The following is a 25,568-nucleotide window of genomic DNA, read 5'->3' as shown; positions in this document are numbered from 1 at the left end:
AGACAAATGTAATCTGCTTCTTTCTTATACACAATTGTATATTCATACCATCTGGGGTCAAATTTATATTACCAGGGTCAGAGAGCAAACAATGAGTTATATGGGGGCTACTTGTAGACCATGGTGGGCAGGAGAGTGCTTCTGTCTCTAATTGACTCAGAGCTTGGCTTGAGAGAAAACAATGGAAAAAGGAAAGATGGCATTCTTTGTAATCTGATGGACTTGGTCTTGAAATATCTCTTGCACATTCTGCCTGGGTTATGTTATTAAATCTACCAAAGACCTTATTGTATTTGTATCAAATGCTTTACATGCATTATCGCATTTTGTTCTTAGAACATTCAGTTAGCTAGTATTACTATCCATTTTATGGATGAGGAAACTTCGGTGTAAGCAGTTGAAAGGATTTGCTGCCAAAGTCACATTGCTTGAGAGTGGTGGTTCTATAGTTTGAACCAAAATTTTCTGGCCCACAAAGTTTGTACTCTGCACTTATTATTATTTGCAGTTTCTAAGCGAAAGGGAAATTAAACTCCCTTTTTAGAAAACTATCAGATGATGTTAAGTATGCTAATAATGTTTGTTCAGTGAAAAAAATACCAACTCCTGTTAATTCTCTCAAAAACAGTTGACACAGGAACTCCAGCATTGTGATGCCTAAAACTCTTAGCCTATCTGATTACTCACCTAGAATTACTCACTGATAGGCAAACACATTAACAGGCATTCTAAAATGTCACAGCAGGCATAAAAGTTCTTGAGGGAAAAATGGAAATTGTTGAGACCCCAGACTTAGAATCAATATAGTATCCCTGAATGACTAGGAGATAAATGGGGCCCTGATTACCTAGACAGAAAAGCTGGAGTAGAGAGGAGGAAAAATAGGCATAGTGTAATGAAGAGTGCAACTCCTTTTCTCTGGGGTTGCAGAGAAAAGGCTTGGGTTTGAGCCCTAACTCTTCCCTGGTCTCCTTTAAGTCTCTAAGCTGTGTTCTCTCATTTGCATAAGAACTAATCATTACCATCTCTCTTTAAGTTGCCCTGGGAATCAAATGCACATACTGTGATACTGCTTTGAAAATTACAAAGAAGTAAATAAGAAGTTACAAATGGGAGACCAAGATCCAATCTGCCCCACCGGTGTTTTAAATTTGGCTTGAAAGAGTTGTCCTTCAAAAAAAAAAAAAAAGTCTTGATAATGATGAGCAATGAGAATGCCATTAGACAAGGTATGTCCTCCCCTCTTCACCACTGGCCTCACCAGTCTCAGATTCTTTTTTTTTTTTTTTTTTTTTTGCTACATTTCATGCGCCTGCAGGCATTTGTGTTTTCTCCTCTACTAGATATGGATCATTGTTTAGGATTAAGATGGTATAAGATGAAATTCACTTGTGTCACCAGTATGACTCAATCTTCCCTAAAATACTGACCAGTGGAAGGCCTACACAAAGAATGAGGAGGTAGAGACTTGGGAATGTGAAACTCCCAGGCACACTTCAGCTTAGAAGAACAGCCGCAGAGCAAAGAGTGTGGTTCCATGCGAACTTGCCTGGTCGCCCTAGAGATTGGGAAAGAAGAGGCGAGAGGATTGAAAAATCCCCCTTTTTAGGAATTTCTCAAGTAACAGATGCCACGCCAGCTAAGATAGTGAAAAAAACTAAACGTATAGTGGAGGAATGATGTGAGCGAGGAAAATTCATTTTGGCATCTGAAAGAACTGTTGGTTAAGCAGCAGTAAGAATTTAAAAACCAATCTCTGAAAGGCCTCAAACGAGTGCCTCTGGAGTGTTCTGGCAAGCTGATGAAGAGGACATATGCAGGAATTGCAATTCACATAGCAACTGGCCATTCATCCTGAAAATAAATCTACTCTGGTCGTTATTTATCCAGCAGTTCTCTTTGATTGCTAAATGAATCTGCAGCACCTAATGTGTGTTCCTCAATTCTTTGATGTCTGTAGTCAACCAGGCATTTAATAACTGTCAACAAAGATACTATATTTGAGGAAATATATTCAGTGGAAGATTAAATTAGGCACTGTGGCCAGCCCACCCACCATGCAGAAAAGCATTCTGTGCTAGAAAATAACATTACCATCGTAAGGATGAAAGAGCCAAATGACAGACTTACGCTTTTCCGCCTCAAAATTCAAGGCCTGAGTTTTTAATCCATAAACTAGGATATGTGTGGCTGTACCTGGTTGAAAATACCCTCATGACCACTCCTGGCCCATTTCTTGTTTATCACTGCCTTTGAGACTTGTTTTTGCTCAGTACTTTTCCCTGATTCTCCCCATCCTAATTCCTCAGGTCATAATATTTGGGCAGAATGGTGAAATAGAAAAAAACGCCATAGAGTCAGAACACCAGGACCTGAATAATAATTCCCTTCCCCTGCTCCTATGTAACCTGGTCTTTTCTGGACCTCAGATCCCCCATTGGTAAATGGGGCATTATATAAGTGTATGTGCTATTAGAACCGTAACATGTTACAAATATTGCCTTGTAAGAGTTTTCCTATTGTTTTCGGTATGTGTGGTTTATTAAAAACTTAATTGACCTATGAATGAAGGACTAGTCCAAGGAATAGAGCTAAGATAAAGGAAAAGAAAAAACATGTTACATATATTCAATTCCATGTAAGAGAGATTCCACACATGCAAAGGAAAATACAGAATTTAGAATTCAAATAGTTATGGGTTAAACAAGAACAGCTCTAGTTGACACGATTGAACTGTGTCTCACGGCAGAAGCTGTTTATAGTTGCACCATCTTTGCACTACCAGCCTAAAGTTGGTGGTATTCAACCAAAAGTTATTAAATTTGCAAATTAGGGAGCTAAGAATGAATCCACAGTAGATTTAATCATCTTATCTCTGTAGGCCCCCTGGAATGTTAAGACAATTGTTTGTCAACAAATTTGGCCCAGTGATAAAATAATATTAATAGCTACTAAGAAAATTTCAGACTGTAAGTATTGAGAGAGCTATATGCTTTCTAGCACTACGTGGCTTTTCCATGCGATTCTATTCCCTACAGTATTTGAAGGAACTATAGCATTTTCAGAAATAGTGCTGTTATGCAATTGAAAAATCCATAATATTAGTTTGAATGTTTTTCTTAATATTTTTTTGAGATAGGGTCTCACTCTGTTGCCCAGGCTGGAGTGCAGTGGCATGATCTTGGCTCACTGTAACCTCCAATTCCTGGGCTCAAGCAATCCTCCCACTTAAGCCTCATGAGTATCTGGGGCTACAGGTGCACACCACCATGCCCAGCTAATTTTTTGCAGAGATGGGGTTTTGCCATGCTGCCCAAGCTAGTCTCGAACTCCTGGGCTCAAGCAATCTATTTGCCTCGGCCTCCCAAAGTCCTGAGATTACAGGTGTGAGCCACCGCATGATTTATTTTTTGGTTTATCTATGCTGTTTATTTCCTTAGACTATAATAAAAAACAGCTAACATTAATGAGACTTATTTGATATCAAACACTGTATACTTTAAAGTATTTATATCAGCCTCTTAATTTCCAAAACCAACACTTTTACAGATGAGAAAATGGAAACTTAGAGAAGTGAAGGGCCATATCCAAAGTCCTAGAGCTAATAATTGATACAGTCAGTATATGAACCCAGTTCTGTATAATTTTCTCAGGGAGTTTTTGTGACCTGAGTTGTTTTGTCTCTAGCATTGTTCTTCCCTCTATGGAAATAGAACTTCTACCAAGAGAAGAGATCAAGCAGAGTGCCTATGGCCCATCACTGGGCATCTTCACTTGGCATCTGAAGGCACCTATGGATTATTTAAAACCTGTTTTGTCCTTCTCTCACCATGGAAACCAACTAGAACTTGAGTCCAGTGCTTAATCTGATCTCTACTAAATTTCTCAGCCTTCTGCCCATATATTTTATTGTCCCCATTTCTTAGACTTCCAGTGTTTAAACTCACTTATTGGGGAATTTTTCAAAGACACTAAGATTTGATTATCAATAGGCTATATGTATTGATGATCTGAAAGGGAAGGACGTGCCTGTCTTAGGATGAATTCTAGTTACACAGCTGTCTGCAAGCCTGCATTACGTAACTATGCAATGAAATATGGTCTATCTGATATGGATAAATGTTTTCTATATTTGATAGTTGAGAAAATTATTTTATGTGAGACTTTTTTGAGAACAAATGTTTAGAACAGTTATCATTTAGCCTTACTAGTCTAGCTATGCTAAAGAAAGCAAACTTTTGACTATACACCCAACTATTTTGTACAGGCTGTTAAGACAACCAAGTGTTTTATACATTATCTTCTTTCCACTGGGAAGTTACTTCTTAAATAAGAACAGCGAAAGCATGTATTCTGAGATTTTTCTTTAGACAGTATAAAATTTCAATATTTTTTATAAAAATGGAACAATGTTAATGAAGAAACTGTGTTGAATACCTGAACTCAATTGAAGGCTGGGGAATTGCTTTTCCGTTAAAAATTACACCTGCTCATCACTTGACATTTTACCCCTACCCTCTTAATTCCCATGGTCTCAGAGCTTCTGTAATTGGCATCACAGATTTCCTATTTAGTGACGAGCCTGAGATCTCCAATATCCAAATTTGTGGCACATCTGAAATGCGCAGTTTGGCTGTTTCAAAGAACCATCTGGATTGATTCAGCTGGGAAGCATCTGGGTAGATTGGTTATGGGCCAGGTTTTTAAAAATACACTGGATGGAGTTGCCTTTCAACAGTCTGGTTATTTTTGTCTTACAGACTTGGACATGAAGTCATAAATTAGGAAATAGTCTCAAAGGGCAGAAATCTTTACTTCTGTGGGTAGAGTCCTCTATTCTAGTCCTGACTTACTATTCAGGAAATTCTTCTCCACCTGTAATAAAACTTTTATTGCTTTATTTTAGCAGAGAGAGGGAAGTCTTCCAGGTAGTCCTACAAAGTTGTGAAATTATCACAATAAAACCATCACATATGAGTTTGTGTTAACTGGAGATTTCATATAACTGAGAGTTGGCTAAAAAAAAAGTGATGATTTATGTTGATAAATCTCTCTCCAAAATGTGTGATTTCACTCTCTCGGCATAGTAACCTTTACTGTTCTTTCTGTTCTTCAGTGGTCCTATTTTCATTTGTGGTAAGTAGTTGGGTTCCTTTGCTCTGGCCCATTTCAAGTATGAGTACTGACTTCCTAAAATGGAGAGTCATGAGTAATGGAGCATCCTGTGCTATTTTATTTACATTCTACCTAGCATCCCAGGAGAACCATTCAAGACATGTCTTCATTCATTCAGCCTCGCTTAGCCATATTTTTAAGAATCTGATTGACAAAGTTTGGCCTGAATAGAACTCTGGAGATCAAAGGGAACTCATCTGAGACAATTTAGAACTTCAAATGGTACATCTCATAAGTCATCATCCACAGAGTGTCCATGCACCTCTGAACCTCCCTCTAAGAAAGGTATCCACTTCTGACTTGCTTGGTCTTCCTCATCTCAGAAAATGTCAGCCACTTCCATCTGTTTCTCAAGCCACAAACCTAGGAGTCATTCTAATTTTTACCTCTCCTAGAATTGCTAATTCATCAGTAAGTCTTAACCCTCTGCCTCCAAAATATATCCCCAATATATCTACTTCTCACCAACTTCAGTGCAATTAATCTATTAAAATGACAATTATCTCACCCGCAGCAGCTTCTTATCTATTCAAGTTTTCAATCTTGCCTCCTTACCATTATTTTTAAAGCAAATAAAAACATCACAATCTTATACTCATGAATCACCACTAAGAGGATACTTTAATATACATCTTTGTGGATCTCTATCCATGCATGTACATATATGTGGGTTTTTTTTTTAAACCAACGTGACAGCATAGTGTTCCTGTTTTGTAAATTGTTTCCAGTGGATAATCTCTCTCCATTTAATAATTTTTTAATTGCTTCAATTATCCTCAATTGTCTTTTCAGCTATTTTCCCCCATTCCAGACTCACTCATTGTACCTTGTTGTCATTTAAACCTCTCAATCTAGTATAGTCTTTTTTAAGTTTCCAACTTATTAAAAACCCTGGGCTGATTTTCTTAACATCCTTTCTTCACAAAGAAGTCTGACTTTTGTTTCTGCAATGTAAATTACATCCATTCACCCTCCATCTTCAATATATTGACGGCATCTCTCTGCATGTAGAGTAAAACCTGAAGACTTACTATGGCCTAGAAGGCCTTATGATCTGGCCTTTGCTCACCCTCACTGACTTTATCTTCTAACTCTTCCTTCCCCTGCTCACAAAGATCCAGTCATAGAGGCCTCATCTCAGATGTGTGAAAACACTAAGCTTTTCTTACTCCAGCCCCTTTGTACTTGTTTTTTTCTCTGCCTGAAAACTTCTTCTCTCTGATCTACTCACAGCCTTCAGGTCTCAGTTCAAATAGCACTGCTTCTGAAAGGCTTTTCTCATGTTTTGATAGGAAGTTGTCATCTTCCCCAAACGTTGGTATCTCCCACCACCCTGCATTTATGTCCTTGTACTGTTCCCTCCTAAACCAACTCTAGGCTTACCCGTGTGACTTAATTTTGCCAATGGCACATTAAAAAAAAAAAAAAAAAAACCATGATGAGGCCGAGCATGGTGGCTGAAGCCTTTAATTCCAGCACTTTGGGAGGACAAGGCAGGGCAGATCACCTGAGGTCGGGACTTTGAGACCAACCTGGCCAACATGATGAAACCCCATCTCTACTAAAAAGTACAAAAATTAGCCAGGTGTGGTGGTACATTCCTGTAATCCCAGCTACTGGGGAGGCTGAGGAAGGATAATCGCTTGAACCTGGGAGCTGGAGGTTGCAGTGAGCTGAGATTGCACCATTGCACTACAGCCTGGGTGACAAAGAACAAAACTCTGTCTCAATAAATAAAACCATCATGACCACATATGCTTTAGGGGCGTTTGCATATTGTGGCTTGTGCTCTTGGTGTCCCACTGCCGTACTATAAAACAGCTTGGGAAGGAACACAGCACGGCAACAGGATGAAAAGACCTTGAGAATGAGACACCATCTTGGTTGTTCTAGCCCCAGCTGACTTCCCAGCTGAATGCAGTTGCATGAAAAGCTTCAACTACAGCACAGGGAGGAGGAGAACCACTCAGTTGAGTCCAGTCAACCCACAGAACCATGAAAATAAATTTTTGCTTTAAGGAAGTAACTTCTTGATAGTTTTACTTTGAAATTGTAACTAAGACTATTCTTTTTCTGAAGTACTTCATAGCATTTAGCACCATATGAAATAATCAGGCAGTCCTATTACCTGGTTATCAATCCATCTCCTGCTATCATAAGATCCATGGGAACAGAAGTTTTGCCAGGTTATTTAACTTCGTATGTATCTTCAGTGCCTATGACAGTGTCTGGCACCTAGTAGGCACTGAATAAAATGTGTCTGGTAAATGAATGGAAAGTTCCAAGGCTCTTAAGTATTAGAAAAATGTATAAAATACTGGAGCTGAAGTTGATTCAGAGACCATCTAGGCCAATTTTTCTTGTTATTGGTGAGGAGATGGGAGCTCAGAAAGGAAAATGATACACATTGTTTAGAGCAAGGCCTATTCAATAGAAAACAATCTGCAAATGTCGTCTTCTGGAAAGCAAAATACTCAGATCCAAGAATACAAAAGCCTCTGAAAGCATTCAAAGAAAGGTGATACCTGCAAATTACAAATTTCAGACTGGAAGTGTTCTGAATTTGGAGTCAATTTGCTGAACTTTTTTTTTTTTTTGCCTGCATTTTCCCCCTTTATTTCAAAGATGCATTTTAAAAAGTGATGATTCTACTTTGAGAAATCTTACATCAAGTAAGATGTGAAAAATACTGTTCCATGTTTGGAAATACAGATGCCATCTTTTATCACAACAAAGAAAAATCCCAAGTAATATTTTCCTTTTCCAAATATACAACTTAATACAATACAGTAAAAGTGTTTGATTTCTTAACTTGCTAATTGAAGACATACTAGCAAATGGAAGAATCTGCAATAATTAATATTCCTTTGCCTTGATTCTATTAGTTATTTTGATTTAATGTTATTATAAAGATTTTAAACTTTTTTGTATATTCGGTACATCAAAATATTGAAGAGTTAACAAAAATAAATGATTTTGGTTCTTTCTCTTGTTATTTTAATTTTTTGGAGATAGGGTCTTGCTCTGTTTCTGAAGCTGGAGTGCAATGGTGCTATTGTAGCTAACTGCAGCCTCAAACTACTCAGCTCAAGCGATCTTCCTGCCTCAGCAGAGATCTGTAGTAGTTCTCTGTGATACTTGGGAATGTGGCCTTTCACAGGCGCTTGCTCTTTTTGTGCATCCTCTGAGCTGGGATCATTGACTCTAATTATTGATCCAGATCCCACTTGGACTGATTGCTTGGTGATGACATAGACTCCCACGGAAGTCTGGATTCCCAACTCCTATTACTGGACCTTTCCATGTTCACTTCCTTCTCCTGTACTTTTTTTTTTTTAACCATGCCATTCAGTTTTAGTCTGAGACACTAACCCAAGTCTCTACACTGGCTAGCTCACTAGCCTCTATTCATTGTTTACAAATATGTCAGGCCCCAAGCACTGATGAGTAAACTATGCAAAGAAACATGCCCAAGGTTAACAACTAAAATAAGCGAAGGAGCCCTGCTTTAAATCTGTATCTGCCAAGCTTACAATCTATTACTTTCAGTGATAGATTGTCACGGACATCTGACTCCAGGTGCTTTTCAACTCTGGGACAGATGCATTTTCACATGGGAAATGACTATATATTTGTAGTTTGCCTGTAGAGAAGGCATGGCAGAGGGTCATTTTCTAATAGATCAGACTCAGTGTTTCTCTGATTTAAGGGTTATGCACAGGGGTGATGGCTGCAGTGGTAGGCATGAGGAGAAGCTGCTGCTACCTGACTCCTTGACTTTTTGCTACTGTCAGAGAAACCAACGCTGGAGTAAGTCACCTACTCAAGGTCACATAATTTTCCAGATGACAATATAGAGTTACCTGTGAGTGTTGGCACCTAACACTTTGATGCTAAAATGTACTGCATAAATAAACATATGGAGCACTTCTTTACCTGGATGGTAGGCAGTACAATTGACTTTTTTTCTGCCTCAGCTGATTCTGAGAAAAGAATTGCTTTTCCCTGTTTTCTAGACCCACCTCCCTAGATTTCCTCTTGGTGCACACTGGTTGCTGCCTCCAGACTGGGTTGCCTAGCAACCAAGCTCTGCAGGCTTCCTAATAGACCAAGGCTTTTCCTTCCAGTCCAACTGCTATACTAATGCTCATTGTTGACAAGGGAGCAGCTCCCTGCTGAGCATATGCTGTAATCTGGAAGCAGATTTGGGGACTTGGTGCCAGGAGCTATGGACATCTCTCCTGAAACAGGAGGGATAGAAGTTTGAGGCTGAACTCATTTTATTGCATGGACTATTAGCTGCATTGATAGATATCTGTACAGGCATTTCCACTTGGTCAGTCATAAGACATTACATTAGAGTAGATATTTTTGTTACAGTGGGAAATGAATTCAGAAAATAATTTGCATCATCATCTTCTTCACCCATACAATCCACAAAGAAATCCTCTAATATTGCAAGGCATACAACCATGCAGTCTGAAATCATCTCATATCTCTCATCTAAGCAGCTCAGCTCAGATTTCAGCTTTGTTCAACTAGAAACCCTTAAATTCATAGAGAATCTTCACACCCATCTCATTAGATCTTAACATTGGGCCATCATCAAGGTCAATAGAAAATGGAGTGACACTCTCACTTAATACAAAATGAGGTAAATCACCTAAAGGTAGACAAGGAAAAGGAGACAGAGTTTGTACTTCTAAAACCAGCTCTTCACAGACATCTGACTTCAGGTACTTTTCAACTCTGGGACAGATGCATTTTCACATGGGAAGTGACTATATATTTGCAGTTTGCCTGTAGGGAACGGAGGGCAGAGGGTCATTTTCTAAATTAGTAAATAAGCTTGGAGAAATGTAACAACTTATTCTAGGTCACTCAGTAAAGCTCTGACCCTCTTATCTTTCTGAATCAAGGCAATCAGCTATAAATGCTGCATTACTGATTTCTCTCTTGCTTTATTCTAAAATAGCATATGAACGTATTTAGAGAGATACGCAAGCAACTAAATTTTAAATAGACATGATTGATAAAATACAATTAAACACACTCAACTATTGAATGTGGCAAAATTTTATAATCTTTTTTGTTTTATTAGAAAAAATCAAGATAATACATTTAATGAGGATAGGCACTGTGTCTATTTTTCTCACCTTCATGTCATTTATAGGTTTGTACAGAGCATGGCATATAAGAGTCATATCACAAATATTTATATAATTAAAAATAAAACTAAAGAGAAAACAAATAAGGAACTGGTATGTTACCAAATATAGCAAAAAGAACTGTGTTCCAATTCCTACTTCCTGTGCTCTACTTAGATCATCTTAGGTTAAAAAGCAGGAAGACCTTTCTGGCATTTAATACCACTAAAATCTCAGAATGTTTTCCTGAAGAAAAATAAATTGATCTTCTTTGTGAAACAAGACTAGGCACCCAACTGTAAGGCCAGATGCCCTGTAATTCATATTGGGAACAGGAGAAAGTTTCAACCAAACCAGAAATGTCCTCTAGCCCTCAATATTTTAATTTTTCTTCCTCTTATTTAATATTACTTCATCCTTAAACACAGTGATAACCAAAGGCATTTTGCTTACCAAGTTCTGCAATAGATTATTTTTCTGGCAAGTTAATCACAGCATAATGGTCAAGAGCACAAAACAATTGTATATATAACAGTCAGACTGACCTAGGTTAAAAGGCGCCCCTCCTAATGGCTGTGCTACCCCTAGGCCTCTTTCACCAGTTTCCTTGGAGGCAAAATTGGGATAATCCCAGCATGTATGTCACAGTGGAGTTGTAGACACGTAATAAGATAATGCTTCCGAAGCTTTTAGTTCAATCTGGCATGTAGTTCAATAAATGTTAGCCATTAATTTCTATGATAATAATAGGTAATAATTTGAATAAATACTTGGCTTTATATTTGTTTTTCTTTAATGGGTCTATGTTCTTTGGCCTTTGTTCAATCAAGTCATGGAAAGTGTTCCTAGTCTACTTCCAAGAAACGTATTCAAACAGCATTTAACAAAATTTAGCATCTTTCTAGACTCAGGGAAGAAATCCCAGAGAAGTTATAGTATAGACAGACCTTGTCCACAAAGGACTTTGCTGTTGGTACCCCACCAACTCTTTTTCTCTTCCCACCCCACCACCTGGAAGGAGGAGCTCTTCAGTACACACTGTTCCTGCCCCTCCCTATGCTGGATGGAAACATACCATGTTTTTCTATCACATGCTAGATTCTTCTGACACCATCTGTTCTTTTTAGCCTACAGCACACAGTTTGCCTTGCTGTCACAACTCTATTTGAAAATGTCGAGAAGAAATGTGATGAATGATTCTGAGGAATGTTGTTTACCTACTAACCATCCACCACTGAGTGGTAGGGAGTGCGGGTTGGAAAATAGCACAGGCCCTTCCAACCATGGGATTTCTATGATTAGCCTTACCTAATATGTCACTGAGTTTGAAAGATAGAAAGGCTGATTCTAAGGAGTTTTAATCCAAGAAGCACTTGTTGCTATGGATCCTACTGTAGGTCTCATTTACTGAACTCTTAGTTTCCACTAGGCACTATGTTAATTACCCAACCACACATTATAGCACTTAATCCTCACAGCACTCCAACAAGGAGGAGGATATACTGTTATCATCCATATGTATACTTGTGAAATTAGCAGCTTGAGAAAATCAGTTAACCTTCTCATGGTCACAGCACTAGGAAATGGAAGTGTTATGAGCCCAAGTTGTCTGTCTCCAGACTCTCTGTCTTTGACCCATGCATACCCTGCCTTGGCATGCATTCATTTCAAGAATAGGAAACTGATAACCAGTTGGCTTGTTTTCTCTGGGTCCCACTGTTAAGATGAGTCCTGGAGTTGCCGTTCTGTTTTGCTATTGTGGTAACCCTAAATTTGAAGCTCATTAAAGGAAGAGATAGTGGTGACATGATTACACACACACCACCTTTGGTCATGCATAGTAGATGCTAAGTATCACTGGTGGATGGTTTATCCAATGGAGACTGTTACCAAGGTGATCAAATTATTTATCATCCAAATCAGGACATATTTGAAAGGGGAAAAGGGTCTACTAAAAATTATACTAGGACAATACTCTAAACTGGGGTCATCTTCAGCAAACTGACCCACATGGTTGCCCTAGTTATAACTCCTGTTCTACTATATTTATTCAATGTCGTGAGTTTCCTCTGAGGTAAAGGTTAGGAACAGGCTTCAAAAACAGGTAAATTAGAACACCACGAAATGGAGCCATCTATTTTAAATACAAATGTAGAAACAGAGACTATCAAAAAGACAACTTGAATGTCACCCTGATTTTATTTTCCCTTTTATAAATGTGTTTGTGATTTTTTTTTTCTGCTCCTCAGCAGATGCTACCTGATTTGTGCTCCAGCTAATGTCACTCACGTCAGGAGTGTTGCCAAATGCAATGAGGTGCGACTGACACCAGGGAAGATGATGAGCAAAGAGAATGGCAGCTGGCTGTGTTTCCTTCTTATAGCATTTTAATGAATCAAGGAGCATCCTGATAGAGTACATCTGGACATGCTAGAAGCCAGACTCTAAGATCCGAGAACCCTAAGGCGGCTCCATCTTCATGACAGGGAGGATGGGTCCTGAATAGAGGGATGAGGCCTGAGAAATATAAAAGGCAGTTGCAGTGCTATAGAAAGAACTATACATTAGTGGTTAGAAAACCTGAGTTCTCTCTCACTCTGTGTTACTCATTAGTTTTTTGACTTAGGCAAAATGTTTGTCTTACTCGAGACTCTTTTAACAATAAAAACACACTAGAGTTACCAACAGGGTCCCAAAGGCAGTGGATAGGGGATCTAGAAAGCTACTACAAGGGGCCCATTCCTCTTTCATTATTGCTTCCCTTTCTTCTCTCTCTCTGACAATCAGCTTTTTTTCCTTTACCTCCCAGTCTGCCTGGTGGAAGACAAGATAATCCAAGTTTTCATGGTATAGGTCCAGCCACAAGGAAAGACTGATTCCTGATTCTCATTTCCATGTTTAATTCCTAGCTGAAGGTATGATAGGCCTAGCTAATTCCCCCTCACCAAAAAGTATGAACAGAGTGTGTATGAATTTTAGACATCATGCCTGAGGCCCACTCCTTTGGCCCAATAGATGGTGGATCAGTTCTCATTTCAAGGGGACTGTTTGTCAGCTGAGATGTTTCCAAAGGTATTCATTTGCTTGTGTAACTTTATTTCCTCAAAAGTAAAATCTGACCTCCCTTCCCTTGTGTGGTTATAAGTCTTAAAGGAGACCATGTACAAGAAAAAAAATTGTGAAATTCAAAGGGCTTTATATATATCAGGCACTAGCTGTAAACTGAAGTCACCCTGTGAATCAGATGTAGAGTTACCATATTTAGGCTCACACCCTCTAAATCCCCAAGGTGTAGTCCTCTTTCCATGGACAGTTGGAAGGTCAATGTCATTGAAAGAAAAAAGGTAAAGCTTACCTAATGTGAATATTGTGGGCTTAGAGTTCACCAGCAGGCAAGAACTCTCTCCAGGGTTGTAATTAATTACCTTATTTGCATTATGTAAATGCTACCTTTTAAAATTTCATAATTGTTATTAAACTCAGTTATTTCTCTAAGCTCTGAGCTACTTAATTACTAGAACTGTAAACAGAACATAAGGGCTGCAGAATGCATGAATATTTAGTGATACCAACAGATTTTGTTCATGACCTGCCACGATTATTAATATTACTTTTAATTTTAACAGAGCAGGTTGTCAACATGGGTACTAAACATGAAGCAAAGGCAACTCCTTTATCCAGAACTTAATTCACTACGAATGCCACTCCAAAAGGAAAGGATGTCCAATCTGACAAGGGATTAATCACCATAATATATAAGGAGCCCAGACAATTATAGTGGAAAAAATCTAATAATCTGATTTTAAAATGGGAAAAAGATCTGAATAGACATTTCTCAAAAGAAGACATACAAATGGCCAACAGGTATACAAAAAGGTGCCCAACATCGTTGATATCATCAGAGAAATGTGAATCAAAAGTACAATGAGACATCGCCTCATCCCAGTTAAAATGGCTTTTATCCAAAAGACAGGCAATAACAAATGCTGGTGAGGTTGTGGAAAAGAGGGGACCCTAGTACACTGTTAGTGGGATTGTAAATTAGTACAACCACTATGAAGAACAGTTTGGAGGTTCCTCAAAAAACTAAAAATCCAGGTACCTTACAGTCCAGTAACCCCCTGCTGGGTATATACCCAAAAGAAAGGAAATTACTATATTGAAGAGATATCTGCATTCCCATGCTTATTGCAGCACTGTGCATAAATAGCCAAGATTTGGAAGCAATCTAAGCATTCATCAACAGACAAGGGGATAAAGAAAATGTGGTACATATACACAACGGAGGGCTATTCAGCCATAAGAAAGAATGAGATCCTGTCATTTGTAACAACATGGGTGGATGTGTTAATTGAAATAAGCCAGACAGAGAAAGACAAACTTCACATGTTCTCATTTGTTTGTGGGAACTAAAAATTAAAACAGTTGAACTTATGAAGATAGAGAATAGAATGATGGTTATCAGAGGCTAGGAATGGTAGTGGGAGTGGGGGAGGGGAAGTGGGGATGGTTAACGGGTACAAAAAATAGAATGAATAAGATCTAGTACTAATAGCACAACAGGGTGATTATAGTCAATAATAAGTGTACATTTTAAAATAAAGGGCATAATTGGAATGTTTATAACACAAAGGATTAATGCTTGAGGGGATGGATACCCCAATTACCCCGATGTGATTATTAAACAGTGTATGCCTGTATCAAAATATCTCATATAACCCATATATACACCTATTATGTATCCCCCAAAAATAAAAACTAAAAAAAGGATATACATCTCATTCATGACCTGTAATAATAGTCAAGCAAAAGACAGATCACTACTAAGGCCTGTCATGAGTAATAATTCAACAATACTGGGGGTTAGAAAAAGGCTAGAATGTAAAAGAATATTCTGGGAGTATTTTATTGATAAGCCCCTTCCACATGTCTGATCTGCAGAGTTCTTCCCTACCAACCCTCTGTAGAACTCCACAGTCTAATTCTGACCCTCTCATAGCCCTCTAAATCCTCACTATTCAAGGGGGAGTAATTATATCTGCCCTGTTTAGCTGGAGCTGGCAGACCATAAATGCTCTGCAAAGGGAGCAGCAGAGAAGAGTTGAGAGTCAACGTTTCAGGCATATTTGACCCAAGAAAGCCAGAAGTGATACATGTTTTGGGTGAACATGAGCTATCTTATATTGAACCATTGAGAGACTAGGTGGAGTCATTCTGTGAAGCCCTCAGCAGGTAAATACATGGTGGCTTTAGCTCTAGGCGAAAGATAGTAAGGTGTAAACTGTTGAGTCTTAGTACAATAGGAGAGAGTGAAACTTGTGGAAATGTGAAAGGAAAGGGATTAAGAAGGAGTAGAATGAAAAGACAGCAAAGGGAAAAAGAAACCACAGGATAACCTTGAACAGGCTGAGTTTAAAAAAAAAAAAATCAACTTAAGGAGAGGCTGTTCTTTATACTGCCAAGGGTGCACACGTGCAAACATATATACACAGAGACACATAGCTATACATTTCTTCCACCCACACATCCCATATATACACAATAGGCTCGTTTTCCTTAACTCAACATATACAACTCATGTGTCCACACCTACACATAAATATGCTCCCATAAATCACACAACATGCTCACTCTCTTTCACTTCTGCATATTTTCTGATATCAACAACAGTAACAACAGCATCTCAGCAAAGCTGTCTAAAACAAGAGCCCACAAATACTTTAAAGACAGGCACAGGGACAAAAACTGTGTGACCAAAAAAGAATGAATCAGAAAGACCTGATCAAATGCCAACAGAAAGGTTAGCATGACCCGCTCCTGCTTCCTAAAGCTTTTGGTAGTTTTTTCTGGAATTCCGTAAATAGAATTACTAATGGAAGAACTTCAGGTTAATGGCTAAGTATTATCATTATCCAGATTGGTTCCCATTTTGGAAAGAATATTTTAGTGTTCATGTTCACCAAATGACCCTATTCAAATGTTAACTGAAGTAGCAAGATATAAAAACATAAACCGCAGTCCTTCTAGATTCATTCCAAATGCACATAAAAATCAACTTGGACACAAACATACAGACACATACTTGAACATCTCTTACTATGAAGTGTATCACTGCTAAGACTCATATCCAGCTTTATCACTAAAGAAGCTTTTTGGCCAGGCGCGGTGGCTGACGCCTGTAATCCCAGCACTTTGGGAGGCCGAGGCAGGTGTATCATGAGGTCAGGAGTTCGAGACCAGCCTGGCCAATATGGTAAAATCCTGTCTCTACTAAAAATACAAAAGTTAGCCGGGCGTGATGGCGTGTGCCTGTAGTCCCAGCTACTTGGGAGGCTGAGGCGGAAGAATCGCTTGAACCCAGGAGGCGGAGGTTATAGTGAACTGAGATCACACCACTGCACTCCAGCCTGGGCGACAGAGCAAGATTCTTTCTCAAAGAAAAAAAAAAAGAAGAAGAAAAAGTTTTAATTACATAGCTGAAGGTAGTACTACATAAAGAAAAGGGCAATTAGATTGACTTGCAAACTACCATATATAGTAAGAACTAACTATGTATAGACACTGTTCTAACATTTTTACATTCTCTCATTTAATCCTGACAACTCTATGAAGTAGGTATTATTATTTTCATATTACATATGAGGAAACAGACAGTGAGAAATTAAATCTTATGTTGAGAAAATGGACTTTGAACGCAGATGGTCGAACTCTAAATATTATGCTAAAATGACATTTTATTCTTATGCCAGCCACAGACTAGTAGTGAGTTTCTTTGGTCCTCTGTGGAAAAGTACTTTGGGCTATGTTTGGGCTTCATAAGAAGTGCTATACTCAATGGCTGAAGTCTGCCACAGGTAAGAAGGTGAATGAAGACATGCACAGAGAGTATTTGCAACACTGATCTGGGTTCCAGAGGTTGAGCAATCACTAACTATAGGTGTAAGCTTGCCCAAATACCGCAGGTGAGAAGTGAAGGAACAAAGACAATTTCACTACATTGGCAACATTGTAATGGATTTTGGACTCATGTGAAGACATCTTACCACAACCCTGAGTGGCTCAATGTCGTAAGGTTTTAGATCACTATCCTCTAGTTTAGAATTTCACAGCTGAAATGTTTGTTTTCCTAACTCCACTCTGCCTGAGTTGGTCAGAGTTCTCCAGAGGGACAGAATCAATAAAATGTATGTATATATATATAAAGACATTTATTAGGGAGAATTGGCTCCCGTGATTACAAAGGAAAGTCTCCCAATAGGCCCTCTGCAAGCTGAGGAAAGAGAGAGGCTGGTAGTGAGGTTCAGTTCAAGACAAAAACCTCTCACAATCAGGAAGGCTGACAGTGCAGCCCTCAGTGTAAGGCCAAAGGCCTGAGAGCCCCAGGGGACCCCTGGTCCAAGTTCTGGAGTCCTAAGGCCAAAGAACCTGGAGCCTAATGTCCAAGGGCAGTAGGAGAGGAAGCAAGGTGTCCAGCAAGGTGTGAACTCCAAATATCCGAGATAGGTCTCAATCAATTTAGGAAGTTTCTTTTGCTAAAGTTAAGGACTGTGCACCCCTGACATAGCCTCAAGAGGTCCTGAAGACATATGCCCAAGGTGGTCGGGCACGGTTTGATTTTATACATTTTAGGGAGACAGGAGACATCAATCGATATGTGCAAGATGCACATTGGTTCAATCCGAAAAGGTGGGACAACTCGAAGCAGGAAGGGGGCTTCCAGGTCATAGGATAGATAGGAGACAAATTGTTCCATTCTTTTGAGTCTCTGATCAAAGTAGGTGATCAAATAGATATGCATTTATCTCAGTGAGTTCTGTCTGTCCTTTGTCCACAAGGAAATTCCTTATCAGGGAGGTATGTAGCTTATCTTAGCTATCTTTTTAAGCAATAGAATGGGAGGCATATTTGCCCTAAGCAGTTCTCAGCTTGAATTTTCCCTTTGGCTTCATGATTTTGGGGTTCTAAGATTTATTTTCCTTTCACAAAGGAAGAGAAAGAGGCAGAGAGGGAGAAGAGAGAGCTGGAAGACTCAGCAAGCTGCTTATGCCCCTTCTTCCCCCTGCTTTGTTCTGGCTGTGCTGCCAGATGATTGAATGATGCCCACCCACACTGAGGAGGGCCTTCCTCTCCTAGTCCACTGACTCAAATGTCAATCTCCTCTGGCAACACACTCACACTCACACTCATAAACCGTACCTCATTAGCCATCTAGGCATCCCTCAATCCAGCCAAGTTGACACTTAATATTAACCATCACAAAATCCACTGTTTGTCAACTTGACACCCATATATATTTTAAAATTATACTTAATCTCTAAAGATAAGTCATAATTCTGCCTAACATAATTATTCTCCATGCAAGCAAAAATGCACAAATCCTTAAATATTATCACATAAAATTAACACTGAAGTGCCGACATGAATTCAATATATTTTATGTTACATGTCAAGGGAATAAAGAAAATAAAGATATTTGCTTAATACAGGTATATATATATGCACAAACATATTTTTAACAAAATGAGCAAACATAGTCTTCATTTCTGTAACAGGTCACATGTTCATAGTTGGTATTAATAATTACCTTTTCCTGCTTGCAATCCCAGCACTTTGGGAGGCCGAGGTGGGCAGATCACCTGAGGTCAGGTGTTCGAGACCAGCCTGGCCAACATAGTGAAACCCCATCTCTACTAAAAATACAAAAATTGGCTGGGTGTGGTGGCACACACCTGTAATCCCAGCTACCGGGGAGTCTGAGGCAGGAGAATCGCTTGAACCCGGGATGCAGAGGTTGCAGTGAGCCAAGATTGTGCCACTGTACTCCAGCGTAGGTATCAAAGTGAGACTCTGTCTTAAAATTTAAAAAATTACCTTTTTCTATTATTTATTTTGTATTTTCTTTGTCTTTAACAAGTACTTAGCTGGTTGTGGTTTTTTATTTGCTAGAGTGACCCAAACTTATTTTTTTTGTTTCATTTTGTTTTGTATTTTGAGATGATGGAGTCTCATTCTGTCGCCCAGGATGGAGTGCAGTGACATGAACTCAGCTCACTGCAACCTCCGCCTCCTGGGCTCAAGAGATTCTCCTGTCTCAGCTTCCCGAGTAGCTGGGGTTACAGGTGTATGCCACCACACCCTGTTAATTTTTGTTGTATTTTTACTAGAGACTGGGTTTTGCCACGTTGGCCAGGCTGGTCTCGAACTCCTGACCTCAGGTGATCTGACTGCCTCGGCTTCCGAAAGTGCTGGGGTTACAGGTGTGAGCCACCACACCAGGCCCCAAACTTTCACTCTCACAGGGTCTGGGCCATCCCTATTCCTGCCTGGATTGGGCTGTTGTCATTTCCTGTGGACCGTAACTATAAGGCAGGGTAATACTATTAATAACAGACACCCTAAGGGATTTTTTATATTCCACAAATACTCTCTCTTACCTCCACTGTGGAGTAGTAGTGGATTTTGATTGTCTACGTCAGTCACCACAGCCAACACTGTAACCCCTTTCTTAACCTTTTGACTCAGAGGCATGAGGAGTTAAAAGTGGCCAGGTGGCAGTCTTAACTTTCATTTCAATGGAATCAATGTTGTGTCTGGGTGGCAGCATTCCTCCCTCAGGAACTAAGACCTCTAGGCCAGCAGAACATAATGTCATGGGAACAGGAAGCAAAAATTCTGCTGTTGGGTCACTAGGGGTAATGGTGAGTGGTGCCACTTCTACTTCCTATTAACCATCACACTGCCTCACACCTGTTACTAAACATAATAGAATTCAATCTACAATAAAGCTCCTTTATGTATTTATAATATAGTGGGGAATTAAATGAATGTTCAAAAGTTGTGACAGTAAAGAAAGTGATTTTCCATACTCAGAATTCAATAGAGAAGAAAATAAAAGGACAGTTGAAAGTCCATCACTTGAACAAAGCTCAATATGTTTAGCTGCTCTATCAGACCACTAATAAAATCATGTGCTCACCTTCCAAAAAGAATATAATGCTTGGGCCGGGCGAGGTGGCTCACGCCCGTAATCCCAGCACTTTGGGAGGCCAAGGCAGGCAGATCACAAGGTCAGAAGATCGAGACCATCTTGGCTAACATGGTGAAACCCTGTCTCTACTAAAAATACAAAAAATTACCCAGGCGTGGTGGCGGGCGCCTATAGTCCCAGTTACTCGGGAGGCTGAGGCAGGAGAAAGGCGTGAACCTGGGAGGTGGAGATTGCAGTGAGCGGAGATCATGCCACTGCACTCCAGCCTGGGCAACAAAGCGAGCCTCCATCTCAAAAAGAAAAAAAAGGAATATGATGCTTAATACTGAACAATGGATATGAGTAAGAAGAATGCTCTATATCAATTTAATTTTTTTTTTTTTTTAGATGGAGTCTCACTCTGTTGCTCAGGCTGGAGTGCAATGGTGTGATCTCGGCTCACTGCAACCTCCGCCTCCCGGGTTCAAGCGATTCTCCTGCCTCAGCCTCCTGAGTGGCTGGGATTACAGGTGCCTGCCACCATACCCAGCTAATTTTTGTATTTTTAGTAGAGACGGAGTTTCACCGTGGTGGTCAGGCTGGTCTCAAACACCTGACCTCAGGTGATCTGCCCGCCTCGGCCTCCCAAAGTATCAATTTAATTTTTACAACAACTTCTAGCAGCCCTGTTAGAGAACTTATGTAAGGTCACCAAGCCATTCTGAGAAGATCCAGAACTATCACCCCAAGTTGCTAATACCCAGCTTATTTTTTCTCTGCCCTCAGATTTGCCATTTAGGGGATGGGAAGAACAAAGTGTTTGTCAGTCTCTCTCATGACCAAGGGTCTGTGGGCAGATGATTGGCAGGGAAAAGGGCTGTGGGTTGTGTCCATGGAAGGCTTGGCCCTCAGCCTGGCTTCATTTGAATCACACACTCAAGTGACAGAATTAACCAGCTGTGAAGATTGAGTTCACTGAAAAGGAAAAATGAAGCTGCCAAAGTTGGGGGTGGGGGATGCTAATGCAATCTGAGACTGTGTTAAATAGAACAACAGGCATTTGTTGGTTTTTTCTCTCTGCTCTTCTTCATGAAGGCTTTAAGGGTGTAATACAATTTTTGTGTAGAAACAAGCAGATAGAAATCTCTCTCCACACTTTTGGCTGTCAGATCACACACTGAAAGAGAGTCCTAAATTCCAAAAAGAGCTTCAGGAGGTCTTTGGGAAATTAGAACTTGAAGGGTGACCAGGATGATGATGGGGCAAAAAGCAATGGCATGTGGTGGATGAATGAAGAACCTGAGAATATTTATTCTAACAAAAGGAAATTAAAGACAGTTATGTTTTACCTAACACTTAAAATTGTCACATTGAAGAAGATGACTTTTTTTATGTGGGTTTGGAGAACAGAATACAACTGATAGTTGAAAGCTCTAAAACTTGTCCAAAAATGAAAAACAATGCTTGTGAAGTAATGAGTACCTAATATCCAAAATATTCAAAAAGAAATACATGTATAAATTTCTCTGCAGCATGTCTAATGTCAGGTGGTCATAAGGAACTTTTAACCAACTCAGTCATATATTTTCTAAGTTATCTTTTCTTCTTTATTAGGCACTATTGTGGAAGATTTCATATGTTTATTTGCTAAATCTTAATAAGTAACTTGGGCTACTTTTGTATAAAATGCCAAAGAATTTTTGATCAAAATTAAGGAGGGAAATATGTCACATGTCTGGATGGATCAAGGTGGCTGGGGAGAGATATCATCTACTTCAATTGTCATGGGATTTACTTTTTAAATTTTTCCCTACAAAGGAACGAAACATTTCAAATACATACAGACTTCTGGGCTGTGGATTATACTATCAGCCATTTGGAAGATTTGACAATAGCAAATCATTTATCACTGATACAACACATTAGTCCAGCTCCTTTGAACTGAAAGGGGTTTTAGGACCAATCCCAGTATCGCCTTCTTTTCTCTCTTTATGAATTCTACTAAGTTATTATTCTCATAAGAGCCCACCTGATCCAGCTATTTGTAATGCAGTTAGTGACCTCACTACCCCGACTCCAGTTGAATACCTTATATATGGAAAGAAAACAGTGAAGCTGTTCTTTCATCTCTTCTGTAATTCCCAGACTTAAAAAAAATAACTATCTGCATTTTCTGAAGGTTTTATATCAGATTCCCTTTATTCTGCTGATACAGCAGTAGATACAATAGCTGTGTAGGGCAATTTTGTAGCCAACTTGCTGCAACTGAACAAGGCAGGATGAGAGATTGTATTCAAAATTTAGTTTCCCAGTTCTATATGTCTTTCCAGATGAGTAAGATCAGAACTTTCATTCATAGAAGATGACAATAAGTCACAATGGTTAAAAAAAAGGGGGGGGGACCCTTTCCTTATAGGTGCTGCTGAATTGAATATCTTTAGAACCAAAAATCACAAATATGAAAATTCGATGCCTTCAGAATAAAGTAAATAGGGAAAAGGGATGGATATGAAGCAATAGAAAGCATAGTGTTGATGTTTAGTTGGAACCTCTGTTCTCTGCTTAAACACTTTGTAATTCAACAACAACATCAATACAACAACAATTTAAAAATGTAGCTTAACCAAACACTTCCATTGAATATTTTTAGCTTGTAGATTTGCCATTTGAGCTGAAAGGATCGTTAAACATCACCTGGTCCAGTGGTTTTTAACTCTGACTCCAGATTCAAATGCCTGGACAGCTTTTTAAAAATACTAACGCCTACTCCTCACACCAGATCAATTAGATGAATATCTCTGCCATGACAACCAAACAACAGTGTACTTTAAAAACGTCACCAGCTGATTCTAATGCACAGCTAGGCATAGGAAGCAATATGAGGAAACAAAAGTGGAAAGAAATAAAAGGTTTAAGATTGTAGTAGCATGTCGTAGCTAGCATAACCAACTCTTAATTTTCAATGATTAACTTCATAGGTTCAAGCTCCAAGATGTCCAGAACCAAACGCGAAGAAGAATTAATGAAATGGATATATGCAAAACTCGTCAAGATTCTCATTTGGCTACAGCAAATTATTTGGCGAGTTGAAAGTTTAGTTGTGTTAATGATATGCTACACCTTCTATACCTGTAATGTGCCAAAAATAACTGAACACTTTAGATTTCTCTTTAAATCCAGTAATAATCCATTAAAGAGATAAAGGTGCCAATGTGCAGGCAAGTAAACCACATTGCCAAGTATACAAGCTAATACATTTCCCAGGATGGATTTAGAGTTTCCTATTTCAAGCAAAATTTACAGAAAGTTAAATGCACAAATCTTCAGTGCACAATTACACGAGTTTAGCAACTATATACATCCATGTAAACAACACTATCATGATGCAGAACATTTTTATCACCCAGGAAATTACTTCATGTCCCCTTCCAGTCAATCCACTCTCCACAGGAAACAACTAGAGTTCTGATTTTTATCATTATGTACTAGAACTTCACATCTTAGGAAATCATATAGTGCTGTCTCATTTGTTTCTTGCTAGTTTAGGCAGTATCATTTTTTTGAAATCCATTCATATTGTTCCATGTTATCAGTAATTTGTTACCTTGATGTAGCTGAGGAGTATTCCATTATATGAATATACCACAACTTATGTACCCATTGTACTCTTGACATTGGCTATTGTTAGTAAAGCTTTTGGCTATTTACTAGTAAAGCTGCTATAAACATGCTCAAGTCTTGTTGTAGAAACATTTTCATTTCTCATAGGTAAATAGTCAGGGATGGAATTTCTGAGTCACAACAGAGGTATATGCTTAACTTTATGAAAATCATCAAGCTGTTTTCCAAACTGGATGCTCCATTACCTACTTCTCTGAGTAAGATCTGGGAGTTCCACTTACTCCACATCCTCACCAACATTTGTTGTTGCCACAACGAAGTGGTGCAATAGTTTATTTTTATTTTCGTTTACATTTCTCTGATGATTAATGATATCAAGCACATTTTCATGTGCAATTCACCATTTTTTTTAAATGTCCAAAACTTTCATTCAGTTGTAAAAAAAAACAACAGTATCTTTTTATTAATGGTTTGCTCTTGTTCTGGGTGAAGTTCATCATCGAATATATATTGCTAATATTTTTTCCCACATTACAGCTAAACTTTTAATTTTCTTTTGATGGGCAGAGAATTTTTGTTGTTTTATTTTTGTGAAATCCGATTTATTGCTTTTTTGCAGCTAGTGTTTTTTCTTTCATCTCTATAAAATCTTGCCTAGCCTAAGATTGTAATATAGTCTTCTGTGTTTTTTTTCTTCATAAAACCTTTACAGCTTTAGCTTTTATAATTGAATCTATAATTTATCTACATTAATTTTGTGAATATTGTGAATTGTGGCTAAGAAGATTCATTATTTCCATGGTTATCTAGTTATTCCAGCACTGTTTGTTCAAAAAGACTTTCCATTGAAGTGTCTTTGAGCTTTTATTGAAATTAACTGACTATGTGTGTATTGATTTCTTTCTGAGCTTTACTTTGTCCCAGGGATCAGCTTGTATAACCTTATGCTAATGCAATACTATCTTGATTATTGTGGCTTGCTGCAGGTCTTGATATAAAGTAATAATATAATTTATCTGAATTTGTTCTTTTTCAAGATAGCTTTGGAAGTTCTTTATTTCTTGTATTTTCATATAAATTTTAGAATAAACTTGTGTATTTCCACCAAAAAAATGCAAATTTCATTTAGTTTGTAATTAGGTCTAATCAAACCATATTAAATCTTCCAGTTCATTAACATGTTCTCTATCTTCATAAACTTGGGTCTTCTTTAAATCTCTGAGGAATATGTTAGAATGTTTAGTAGAGTTTCTGTATCTTTTTGGGTAGTGCAGAGGGGGGCATAAAGAAAGAATGGTTAATGGGTACAAAAATACAGTTAAAAAGAATAAGATCTAGCATTCAGTAGTACAATAGCACAACTACAGTTAATAATTTATGGTATATTTCAAAATAACTAAAAGGGTGGAATTGAAATGTTCCTAACACAAAGAAATGATAAATATTTGAGGTGATAGCTACCCTAATTTGATCATTACATGTTGTATGCTTGTATCAAAATATCACATATGCCCATAAATGTGTATAACTCTTACGTATCCATAATTAAAATTTGTTAAATATATATGGTCTGTTTATGCTATTATAAATGGTATATTTACATTTTCCAAATGTTTGCAGCTAAATAGAAATACAACTTTTTATTTTTTATTGATGTT

The 25,568-nt window shown here is 38.5% G+C and overlaps 1 long non-coding RNA gene across 1 annotated transcript in view, besides 1 other annotated feature; it reads left to right on the top strand.

Annotated features, from left to right (window-relative positions):
• LINC01470 (long intergenic non-protein coding RNA 1470) overlaps positions 1–25,085 on the top strand; it is a 353,385-nt gene extending 328,300 nt beyond the window's left edge. Inside the window, exon 5 of the long non-coding RNA NR_109877.1 lies at positions 23,268–25,085. This is a non-coding gene — a long non-coding RNA (long intergenic non-protein coding RNA 1470). The remainder of the gene's footprint in view (positions 1–23,267) is intronic.
• Positions 707–1,292: an enhancer, noted in NCBI's record as "NANOG hESC enhancer chr5:152022318-152022903 (GRCh37/hg19 assembly coordinates)". NCBI's record gives its function as "activates a minimal SCP1, AML or CMV promoter by ChIP-STARR-seq in primed H9 embryonic stem cells {active_cell/tissue: H9 hESC(primed)}" and the evidence as "EXISTENCE:reporter gene assay evidence [ECO:0000049][PMID:30033119]".
• Positions 25,086–25,568: the final 483 nt, after the last annotated feature.

This window comes from Homo sapiens, chromosome 5 (genome assembly GCF_000001405.40).
Source record: "Homo sapiens chromosome 5, GRCh38.p14 Primary Assembly".
Taxonomy (NCBI): Eukaryota; Metazoa; Chordata; class Mammalia; order Primates; family Hominidae; genus Homo; species Homo sapiens.
Note: the sequence above shows the minus strand (reverse complement) of the source record. Positions and strands in the feature narration are given on the sequence as shown.